General features: G+C 39.4%; 1 protein-coding gene across 8 annotated transcripts in view, besides 1 other annotated feature; it reads right to left on the bottom strand.

Moving 5' to 3' along the window:
- ELOVL7 (ELOVL fatty acid elongase 7) overlaps positions 1-12,875 on the bottom strand; it is a 92,479-nt gene that overhangs the window by 57,928 nt on the left and 21,676 nt on the right. The gene's annotated exons all lie outside the window — the stretch shown is intronic.
- Positions 12,611-12,670: a silencer, noted in NCBI's record as "silent region_16039". NCBI's record gives its function as "represses an Ori minimal core promoter by ATAC-STARR-seq in GM12878 lymphoblastoid cells {active_cell/tissue: GM12878}" and the evidence as "EXISTENCE:reporter gene assay evidence [ECO:0000049][PMID:35858748]".

Genomic DNA, 12,875 nt, shown 5'->3' on the forward strand with positions numbered 1-12,875 from the left:
AGCTTTGATTTCACAGGAAATCAGAAAAAAAGTAGGAAAATAGAGAAACCATAGCCTCACATTGGAGGAGAAGCAAACAGACTAACAATCCTAATTTTTTTTTCTCCAGGTGGTGAATGGAACAACAGGGTTGATTCTGATTATGGAAACTCCATACACTGGTGAACAGATAAAAATGCCTTAAAGGGAATGGGATGCAACCTATGAGGTGGAATGAATCTTGGTATGAATATTGAACTCTACAACTCAGGTTCCTGAATTCTTCTTTTTTTCACTTTCCATGTCCTTGGGCTACAGGAAAAAATGACTATAAACAAATTATCAGCCCTCAAACTATCGCTCAGTGAGAAAAAACAAACTTTATCTTGCCTGCCTGCTTTGCATTTGTGGCCAGTGGAACTTCACTTGAGGCTTGTTAACACAAATGAATCTTTGAATGTTTTAGGTACTTAAGAAAATGGAGCATTTCTTATAGTATGAAGGAAAACATTTGTGGGCAGAAGAACTAAAAAAGCAGGTTGGCCCAGTTTAAGGCAGTACCCCTAGGATCCTCCTCCTGCTATATTTCAATACTTAACACACACCTTCATTTCCCATTCATGGGTGAGGACATGGACACTGGAATCACATACTGAAGGGAAAGGGAGATGATGAATTCATTCATTTATTAAAGGCTTTTCATGTGGATTTTTCTAAGCCCACTGCTTATCTAAATTTCTGCTTAAAAAGCTTCTACAGAGAATTCATGTTAGAAACATTATTTTATTCAAAACTGATGATAGATTTGCCCATTACCTATACATGATTATTCTGTGGAATCAATTACTAAATTATACAAATATGCAATCCTACAGCACATTATATGTAACCAGTACTGATATTCCACTCTTGTGCTTTAGGACAGGCAGGTCAGTTTTTCAGGGCTGGCATCTGATCTGATTCATTGGACATCCATGCCACACTAGTTATTAATATTTTGGTTCTAACTCCTGCACATACCTCTATATTTGGGAGTCATTATACTGCATTTCATTTGTGGATATGTTTTACCTCACCTAGAATTTTGTAAGTTCTTGTAGGGTAGGGTGGAAGGGCTTCTTAAGCAAATTTGTATTGTGCACAGTACCGACCCAGGGGAGGTGAGTCAAGGACTAAATATCCATGGCATTCGTCAATCAGTAAAGAAATTCTCATAGCTGTACTGGGCAGTAAGAAGGCCCAATTTTCTCAGTTTCAATTTTAACTTAGAAGAGTAAGTAAATAAGGTATATTTATCTGTAAATAATTCACATGACCAGGTCAACCTCTCAACTTTCTGTTGTCTAACTGTATTCTATTTGTGCTTCTGCCCTTTACTGAGAGGCTGTATTTATCTTCTCAAAAGATCTTCTTTACTGAGATTTGATTCTCAAAAACTTGAGGAATGTGTTTTCATTAAGGTCAGTTGTACTTTTTTTAAAAAAAACTTTGCAAATTAGCTGCATTTTATTCATTTGAACTATGAACATTCATACCTAGAAGGAAAAAACCAGTATATAGTATGTGTGTGTTTATGCACATACTATATATATACTACTATATATAGCATAGAAGATAGTATAGTCATTAGCATACTGGGCATTCTAAGTGTTTCTCTTTATTGGCTTCAGTGTCTTTTGCAAGTAGTCCATCTGACTTATTTTCTGATAAGTAGAAGGTGTCTTCCTCTTTCCCACTACATTTTGTTAGACTAATAAATAATGACATATTCCTGAAAGGGGAAATGGAAAAGGTAAAAATAAAAATAAATAAATAATGACATACCAAGAATAAAAGATTAGAAGCTGAAAAACTGGGGCCTGTATAACTCACACAAAGGCCATCAACCTTTGTCTTCATGGATGTATGGATTAACGGGTTATTGAGGGAGTGAGTTATTTACCAGGAGAGTGAGTCTGTTATAAAAGCCAGTCTAGCCAACTCTCATGAGCCCCCTCACCATGTGATGCCCTGTACCACCTCAGGACTTTGTAGAGAGCACCACCAGCAAGAAGGCCCTCACCAGATGTAGCCCCTTGGCCTTGGACTTCCAGCCTCCAGAACTGTAAGAAATAATTTTTTTCTTATACATGACCCATTCTTTAGTATTCTCTTATAGCAACATAAAGGGTAAGACACCTAATCTCAATCTTAATCTAAGATAAATTATAGAAAAAAACATAAATGAGAAATATAATTCCAGGTACAGTCACTCAGACCTTTAACCTCAGCAATTTAGGAGGCCAAGGCAGGAGGATTGCTTGAGGCCAGGAGTTTGAAACCAGCCTGGACAACACAGGGAGACCTCATCTCTACAAAATTGTTTTTAAAAAATTAACTGGGCATGATGGCACACACCTGTTGTCCCAGCTACTCAGGAGACTGAGGCAAGAGGACCACTGAAGCCCAGTAGTTTGAGGTTACAGTGAGCAATGATTGTGCCACTGCACTGCAGCCTAGGCAACATAACAAGATCCTATCTCTCAAAATAAATAAATTAATTAAATAAAGAAAAGGAAATATAAAGAATAAAATGTTATCTTGAGAGAAAATGAAATAGTACAATGTAACAAAGAGTTTCTTGCTGTTAAGTTTGACAATAGAGAACCAAATTTATTGCTTGGTATATATTTAATTTTCATCAGAAAATGTGTTGGAATAGAAAAAAATTTAACTGGTTGTGACCTATGTTGTTCAATAACAATAGTGACAAGCCCTCTCTAGGCTGGAGAGGACAAGCTGCAAAATTTAATTGGAAAAAAAAAGAATAGGCATATGATAATGGAATAAGGGAAAGGAATTGTTCTTGAGTAGATATGACAGACTGTGATTTAGCATGGCAGGGATTCTGGATCACAGCATCTCTAAAGGTATTCCTCATGGAAGGTGTGACTCTTCTCAGATAATCATCTTGCTTGGTTAAAGGTTTCCTCTCTCACTGGAATTGTACACAAAGGTTGAGAACCTCCCTCTTGCTAAACCTAAAGGCTTATCCTAAGTTTTTGTCTACTCTGATCTGCCTGCAGTCCCTCATTGTTGACCTCTCCTTCCTTCTCACAGCCCTGACCTTGGCTTCCACAGTATAGCATTCATCTCACTGGCCTCAAGCCTTTCCATCATTCAGCTCTTGCTTGTTTTGTTTAGCTGGTTATTTTCTTCATACCCCTGCACTGAAGGATTTCTCCCTTCAATCCTTGGTGCTCTCTTTGCTTTCTATCTACTTGTTCCTAAAACAATGGTAATGACTCCTAAGTCTACACTCTGAACCCTAACCTTTCATCCATGCCAGAGTCCATTTTCTCCAACTGCCAATAAACATTATAATTTGGATATTCCACCATCACAGGAAGCCTAACTAATCCCAAAAGGAACTCATCTTGCCCAGCTTCTATCTTCAACCAACAGGTTTATTGATCCGTCACCTTCACAGGCGTTAATGGCTTGACTTTTCTTTTACTCCAAGCCATTAGAATCATCTTTGACTGTGCTCTTTTACCTCCAACCTGTGAGCTGTTACAACCTGACTTTTCTCAAATGAAAATGTTCCCCACAATTCTCACTGCTAACAACCAGAACTTCGGTTGACACGTGTATTACTATAACTGGGCCTGGATAACTCTTGCCTCTACTCATATATCCCTTAAATCTACGCTTAGGGTTAATCTTATTAAGAGAAAAATATAGTCCTAAAATACCACTTTCATCACCTTTTCCCCTTTCCCTATTCTAAATTACATCAAGTCCCAAGTTCTCAGCTCCACTATCTGACTCCACTCTTCTCATTCAACACTCCCTACTGCCCTCCAATGTAAAAATCTCTATTTCCCTTTAGTAAGTTATTTCTCACCTGCCCCCATTCCTCCCTCCCAATCTCAGAAGTCATCAACTCTTTGTTTTTGTTTATATCAATTTTTTTTTTTCAGTTAACAGAAACAGGGATTGTTACTTCAGAGAACACTTGTTAAAAGACCACTAGCCTGGTTGTAGTACAAAAAGGATTTGCAAAGAGGGGAAGCAGGAGATAAACTCGACAGGTAGATTGGGGCTGACTAAGAAGGTCCCTAAGGGCAAGTGCATCACAGTCTTTTCTCTTAGATAGTTAGCTGTCAGGCAAACACACTGAAACAATCATCAAATTATGATAAAGCCCAGACAAGCAAAACAAAATACGAAGGTCTCCCTTGTGACCACCATGTATGAGATTTGTAAGAACAAACATTTCCTGCCATGGGAACTTTGCCACTGTGTGCCTCAGATGAAAGCAGTTCCTCTGCTTTCATACATTAACCAAGAGATTCAAAAGCAAGGTGGCAACAAGAACGAACTCAGCTAAGCTACTTCTCTGACAAAGGTCGGAAAGACTTTTCTCAGTTGCCCAAATCAGCCTGTGCCAACCTGGAATCCTCATTATTGAAATCTTTTGCAAAAAGAAAGCTGTCTTGATTAAAGTTTTAAAAATCGGTGGTTCTGAAAAGAATAAAATTTTCATAATGAGTTATTATGAAATCTGTGAAATGGGTCAAAAATGCATAAGGAAGAAGCAGAACCACAGATGACAATCAGCCTTCTCATCCAGCCTCAGTAGTCATCTTGGAGTATTGCTCAAAAGTCAAAGAGGTGTTAACAGATTCTGTGAGGAGATTGCAGAGTTTTCTTGAAACAAAGGGATCTGACCCAGCATACCACAAGCAGTACAACTAGGCACATCCCCTGAAACCAACTATTGTCTCTACTTCTTGAGGCAAGGGAGTATAGTGAGTTGCTACCCAAGTTATCCAAGAGAATAACAATAACGCCCACTAACTGAAGGTTCTGGGTCATGTACTGTGCTAGGTATTCCACTGACATTATCACATTCAATCTTCCTAGCAGCTCTTATCAGAGAAATACCATTATCTTTATTCTACAGATAAGGAAACTGAAGCTCAGAGAAGTTAAGGAACTTGCCCCAGATCACACAGTTACTAAGCTGTAGAGGAAGTGTTCAAAGTTCAGGGTTCCAGTCTATGCTCGTCATGATAGCACACAGCTTCCCAGTGTGAAGGGCAGTAAGAAGAACAAGATGGTGAAATGAATTTCATCAATCAACCAACATTTATTAACACCACACTAAGCCCTATGCTGGGCTTAATTGTGAATGGTAAGCAGAAAATACAGGGCTGGAGACTCACCTCCACCCCATCCCCATTTACTGCTCCTAAAATCCCTATCCCATGAAAAACATCACATGAACTACATTGCAGCTAATTGCCAGGAAACTATAAGAGGACCCTAACAAAGCATATGAGCTGATAGTCTTAAATTCAAAGCATATACAGAATTTTAAGTGGTAGCCTTTAAACATATGCTACCAAGCTAATGCATAATGAACTGAAATCAATACTACTATTATACAATAATCGGTCCACATTACTTTCTGTAACAAGTGTGATTTTAATTGGATTAAGGAATTTGTAGCATGTTTTCCCTCTAAATAACCCACATGAAAATACTTATCATTCTTTAAATGTTTTTGTTCACTTCCTCCTATATGGGAACATAAAACTATGGAAAATACTAGCAAGAATCACAGCTTGGAAAGAATTTTAGGATTACCTAAATCTAAATAACCTAAATATACACTAAATCTACTACTTACACTCAGGTAATGAAATAAGCAGATGAGTATTTCATTTTCCTTTAGCATCACTCAGAGTGAAATCAGAAAAACCTTGCAGAAGTTATCTACCTTTGCTTAACCCTTTCATTAAAAAGTAGGAAGTAAACATGAACATCACATTGTAAATCTCAAATACACGCAATAAAATTTATTTATTTTATAAATAAATAAAATTTATTTATTTTTTTTTGAGACAGAGTCTCGTTCTGTTACCCAGGCTGGAATGCAATGGCACGATCTCAGCTCACTGCAACCTCTGCCTCCCGGACTCAAGCAATTCTCCTGCCTCAGCTTCAAAAATAGCTGGGATTGCAGGTTTGCGCCACCATGCCTGGCTAATTTTTCTATTTCTTTTTAGTAGAGATGGGGTTTCACCATGGTGTTTAATATTTATTTTAAAAATAAAATAAAAATGGTGAAAGTCTTTAGGTTTGCTAAAGCCAAGATGGAATAGTAGAGTTATGATGTAGCTCACAAGTTATGGCAGTTTTTATCTGAGGTCAATGGAGTGAAAAGACGTCTCAGGCAGATCTGAGGCATGTCCTGGAATGGTGTGGAATAACGCTAGTAATCAAAAGACCAGAACCTGGGCTTGAGCTCTGCCAACTTGCTGTGACTGGATATCGGAACAACTTTAATCCTTGAGTCTCTATTACCTACAAAATGGAGATAATATATGTCATTTAGAAGAGTTTTGGGAAGGGCCAGGTGTGGTGGCTCATGCCTATAATCCCAGCACTTTGGGAGGCCAAGGCAGCTGGATCACTTGAGGTCAAGAGTTTGAGACCAGCCTGGCCAACATGATGAATCCCCATCTCTACTAAAAGTACAAAAATTAGCCGGGCATGGTGGCGGCCCCTGTAGTCCCAGCTACTCAGGTTGAGATAGGAGAATTGCTACCAGGATTCAGAGGAGGCGGAAGTTGCAGTGAGCCGAGATTGCATCACTGCACTCCAGCCTGAGCAACAGAGCGAGACTCCATCTCAAAAAAAAAAAAAAGAGTATAGGGAGGATTAATTGGTTACCCATAAGCACTACATAGTCTAAAGACTTTACCTGAATAGATTGGGATCAATAAGACAAGGTGAACTCCTGGAGGGCAAAGAATAAATGTTATTTACCTATACCCCACCACAACCCACAATACCACACAGTTCTAGCCAAATAGGCCAAATTACACTATAAATGGATTTTTGACACAAAGTCAGCACTGGTTATTTCAACATGTGGCCCTTGGAAAAATGTACAATGATAATGCCATGGCAGCTTCTCTTCCAGTTGATACTTTAAATATTTAAGAAATTAACCAGTAGATGCAGGAATTAGTTCATAGTAGATACACATGCATTTTAAATTATTGGGGAAAATACAGATTATTCAACAAATTATGTGAGGATCAATGGGTAGCCAACTGGAAAAAAAATTAATTGAAATCCATATCTCATATTAAAACAAATTTCAGATAAATACAAAATTCAAATGTAAAAATGAAATTATAAAAATACCCGGTGTTTGGGGAAAACTGAATGAAAATTACACAGATCTCTCTGTAGTAATGTTGCAACTTTTTGCGAATCTATAATTATTTCAAAATTAAAAGTTAAATAATTGGTAAACCTGAGCTAATTATTTTATAATACTGGAATGAGGCAGGATTTTCCAACAATGACACAAAACATAGAAGTCACAGATGTAAAGATTAAATATGACCACTTTAAATATTTATACAGTGAAAAGCTTAAGCACACAAAATCAAAAGAGAAATGAAACTGAAAGGAAAACATAAGTATCTCATATCCCAAAAGGTTACTTTCTCTAATATATAAAGGCTTTCAACAAATTAAAAAAAAAAAATTTCTCAGCAGAGAAATGAAAAAAAGATACAAAAAACAGAGGGTTTACAGAAAAGGAAATACAAATAGCTCTAAAATGTATTCAAAAAGATGTCCAATGTTACTCAACAATGTGACAAGTACAAATTTAAATTAGAGTGAAATATCATTTTACTTATCAGATTGGCCAAGACCATAAAGTCTGATAACACACTTTGTTAGTCAAAGTCTGGAGAAACAGGCACTCTCAGACATTGCTGATGGGAATGTGAACTGGTACAACCTCTATGGGAGTGATTTGGCAATATCAACTATAAAACAAATGGTGTGTGTGTGTATATATATGTGTATATATATATGTATATATATTAGTATATATATTAGTTTATATTTGTATATATGTATATTAGTATATATATTAAGTATATATATACATATATACACATATATACACACACACCATATATATACACACACCATATATATACACATATGTATATACCATATATATACACACACACCATATATATACCATATATAAACACACACACCATATATATACCATATATATACACACCATATATATGTGTGTGTGTATATATATGTGTGTGTGTGTGTGTGTATATATATATATATATATACTTGCATGAAAGATACACACAGGAGATTTTTTTATTGTAGCAATCTTTTAATAGCAAAAGAAGTGGAAACAATCCAAATGTCCACCAATATGAGACTTGTTTAAAAAAACTGGTATATTTGAACAATGGAATGCTATGCCTTAAAAAAAGAATAAAGTTATAAAAAGGGCCAGGTGTGATGGCTCACATCTGGAATCCTGGCACTTTGGGAGGCCGAGGCAGGTGGATCACTTGAGGTCAGGAGTTCGAGACCAGCCTGGCCAACATGATGAAACCCTGTCTGTACTAAAAATATAGAAATTAGCTGGGTGTGGTGGCGGGCGCCTATAATCCCAGCTATTCTGGAGGCTGAGGCAGTAGAATTGCTTGAACCCGGGAGGCGGAAGTGGAAGTGAGTCAAGATTGCACCACTGTGCTCCAGACTGGGCAACAGAGTGAGGTTCCATCTCAGAAAAAAAAAAAAAAAAAAAAAAAAGTTATTAAAAGAATAAAGGAATGAAATAGCTTTACCTATGCTGCTATGGAATAATCACTAAAAATCACACAAGACAAATACTTCCTTGTATGTGCGCAAATCTCTGGAAAGAGTAATAAGCAACTGTAACACTGGTTACTTGAATAAAGTTAAAAATGAAAGCAATGATAAGATACATGTAGTAATGGTTCCTAAATTTTATGGCCATACATAGAAGGAAGTAAACTAAACAGTAATTATAATAATTACTCACATTTACTGAGAACTTGGTACGGGGCTTGAAGCTATAGCTTACTAAAAACAGATAATTCGCTACACAGAGAAGAAAACATCAACACAAGACAAACCTATCAGTAGACAGCATGGATTTAAGAAAACTTGAGGCTGGGCATGGTGGCTCACGCCTGTAATCCCAGCACTTTGGGAGGCTGAGGCGGGTGGATCACGAGGTCAGGAATTCGAGACCAGCCTGGCCAACATGGTGAAACCCCGTCTCTACTAAAAATACAAAAAAATTAGCTGGGCATGGTGGTGGGCACCTGTAATCCCAGCTACTCGGGAGGCTGAGACAGGAGAATCATTTTGAACCTGAGAGGTGGAGGTTGCAGTGGGATGAGATATTGTGCCACTGCACTCCAGCCTGGGCAACAGGGAGAAAGAAAAAGAAGAGAAGAGGAGAGGGGAGGGGAGGGGAGGGGAGGGGAGGGGAGGGGAGGGGAGGGGAGGGGAGGGGAGGGGAGGGGAGGGGAGGGGAGGGGAGAGGAGAGGAGAGGAGAGGAGAGGAGAGGAGAGGAGAGCAGAGCTTGATATAGACCTCAATATACTAAAAATGAACTGACAGAAATCAGGTGTTATCTTTGTATCTCACTTTCTTCCTCATTTCCCAACCTAGCATAGACTCTTTTAAAAAAGCAGCTACTCAAATGTTTATGAATTAATGAATGAATTACTACTAGTTGAATAGATGGGATAGGTGGATAGACAGATGGATGAGATGGACAATGTACTGACGGTTAGAAGAAAGAGTGAAGTTGAAGGGTCGTGATCTATCTCGGTTCCCATTCCCATCTGACACTGGGCAAATTCAGTCTCCTTTTGCTTCCCTGTACAAATGAGAGGTGCTAGAATGCATAAGTGTTTAAGAACCACGATCATAGGCTGGGAACGGTGGCTCATGCCTGTAATCCCAGCACTTAGGGAGGCCGAGGTGGGTGGATCACCTGAGGTCAGGAGTTTGAGACCAGCCTGGCCAACATGGTGAAACCCCGTCCCTACTAAATATACAAAAATTAGCTCGGCGTGGTGGCAGGCGGGCGCCTGTAATCCTGCCTACTCAGGAGGCTGAGGCACGAGAATCATTTGAACCTGGGAGGTGGAGGTTGCAGTGAGCCAAGATCGAGCCACCGCACTCCAGCTTGGGTGACAGTGAGACTCTGTCTCGAGAGAAAAACAAAACAAAACAAAAAAAACCACGATCATAATGCCTACCTGACTTGGTGGATAATTACTATTGTAGTAGACAAAATGATGCTCTCCCCTCCGCGCCTAATATGTCCAAAAGGGTTTCCACAGATGTAATTAAATGTATAGACCTTAAAATAGGGATTTACCCTGGAATATCATGTTGGGCCCGATGTAATCAAATGCATCCTTAAAAGTAGAGAACTGTCTCTGGCTGGAAGAAGGAGGATTTGAAGCATGAATATTCAGTGCAACTTTGCTGGCTCTGGGATGGACTGGCCCACATTCAAGGACTGGGGAGAGGTTCCTAGAAGGTAAGGGTGGCCTCTGACAGACAGCCTGGAAACAGGAACCTCTGTCCTACAGCCACAAAAAAAGTAAATCCTGCCAACAACCTGAATGAGCTTAGAAATGGATTCCAAGCTCCCATTGGAGCTCCAAATGGAGCCTCCTAATAAGAGCCCAATTGACCAACACCTTAATTGGGCCTTGTGAAACACAGAGCAGAAAAACCAGCTGTGCCAACCTGGAATTCTGACCTACAGAACTGTGAGATAATACATTTGTGTTATTTCAATGAACTTAAAAAGTCTGTGGTGGTTTGTTATGGCAGCAATAGAAAACTAATACACTATCTTTCGGTTTAGTTTAAGAACCATTTGTCAAGCCTGTTCCACATGCCAGGCCCTGTGACCAGTGTCTGGGATAGAAAAATGGGTACACATTCTCAAGGAGCTCATAAGTACTTCAGCCCAATGGACAATTCTATGCAAGAAGTTAGCACAAAGCACTACAGGAACACAGAAAGGCACCTAACTGGTACGACATCTTTAGACTCTTGACTTCTCACTTCTCCAACACCCTCCCCTTCTATTATTCGTTCTCCCAATGAGTTGGACCACGAACCTGATCACAAATCAGAAACTGTGAGCCATCCTTAAACTCCACTGACCCCTTAAGACCTGTGGTGTATGCCATCTTTATGATATTTCTCCTAAAAGTCCCTTCCCCTTTCCTTCAACTCCACTTCCTCCCCTCAACCCCTGACTGCTACTTCCTGAGCTTTATCATCTCTTGGCCACACACAGAAGGAAGTGAACTAATAAGTTTGTCTACTGATAAGTCTGTCTTGTGTTGATGTTCTCTTGTCTGCCTAGTGAATTATCTGTTTTTAGTATGCTGTAGCTTTAAGCCCTATACAAAGTTCTCGGTAAATTTGAGTAATAATTATAATTACTGCCTAGTTCACTTCCGTCTTTGTGTGGCCAAGATTACTGAAATCACCTTTCAACTAACTTTCCTAAATGAACAGCCATCCACTGTACACAAGGCCACCAGAGTCATCTTCCCAAGGATTAAAGCAGTCACACCATGCTCTACTTCAAAATCCTTCAAAGTCTGCCTACAGTTACTAAAAAGTCTAACTCTGTGGTGACGCTTAGCACCCTTCTAATCTCTAGCAGAGCAAAACTGTCCCTGCTGGACTTCTAACCCCAATTCCTAGGCAGGGTCTGGCACATGGTTGACTTCCAAACAGTATTCGCTGAACGAATGATCTCAACCCCACGTGACTCTCTAGCTTCATCTCTTGCCTAACAGCAACCTTTTCCACTATGTCCCCTCTATCCTCCAACTCAGCAAGCCCAAGTGCTCCTCCTTCCCCCTCTATCTATGCTCCAGTTTCTCTTCATGACTAAAAATCCTTGTTCGGCTGGCTGGGAAGCCTAGCTCACTTTTCATAATTCTGCCTTCCTCTAACATGCTTTCTGTTCCCCTTACAGCTAAACCACCCAGGCAAACTGTCCAGTCTCTTCTGAGCCCCTGACATAAGCTGTCCCCTCTTCTACCATGGCATCTATAGCAAACACTCTAGGACAGTGGCCTGTGACTGGTGCTGACGCACAAATGGTTTCTTACTAGATTGGTACCAGCTAACTCCAGAAATCAAGTGTAAGCATTTAGAAATGTTTATAGCAATTTGACATTGCTGTGACATCCAAGTATGTGATGCTTGTTGAACAAGGCATAGACCAGTTCAAGTGTTGCTGAATTTGTGAGGTGAGTCACATGTGGTGCAACCTGCATATTCACTATGTGCAATAGGACCATTTACTGATCCACGATAGGGAAAAAAAGAAAAAAACAAATTAAAAACCCAGTTGGTCTATTACCACAGATAGTTTGAGAAGCACTTCTCTAATGCCTTCAGGTGTGTTCTTACCTTCCTCCTTTTGGGAATGTTGTTTGCTGCCTGGGACAATGCAACAATGCAAATGTCTAATAAATATCAGTGAATAAATAAATGAAGGTGTGAATGATAAGAAGGCTTTGTGAAAGATGTGAGACTGAGCTATTTCTTGGTGAACAGTAGGAATTGGGTACTTTGGGGTTGTAGGATAGTCAAATGCACTGAGAAAGGAGTGCAAATGAGGAAGAGTGTGAAAGACACTGCATAGGCAATAGGAAGCGCTGAAAAGGTGAAATATTATTCATAAGCTCGATATGTAAAAGAGCTCAACCACACAGGTCACCAGAGTGCTACCCACTGAAAACCCCAAGCCTGTACCAGAAGAATCCCCTTAGTGCAAGCTTTAGCTATAGGCAAATCAGCTATGCAAAGGATGAATGTGATGGGTGAGCCTAAGAGCAAGAAGACCGAGTGGGGTTTAATTCCATCATCCCAATGAGAAATCATTATAGGCCTGAACAAGGGCAGAGATAGTTTGGTAAAGTAAATCCCAATGTGACAAGCCCAGGGGACATTCAGGTGGAGATGTTTAGCAGGCACT

Source organism: Homo sapiens, chromosome 5 (genome assembly GCF_000001405.40).
Source record: "Homo sapiens chromosome 5, GRCh38.p14 Primary Assembly".
NCBI classification, from domain to species: domain Eukaryota; kingdom Metazoa; phylum Chordata; class Mammalia; order Primates; family Hominidae; genus Homo; species Homo sapiens.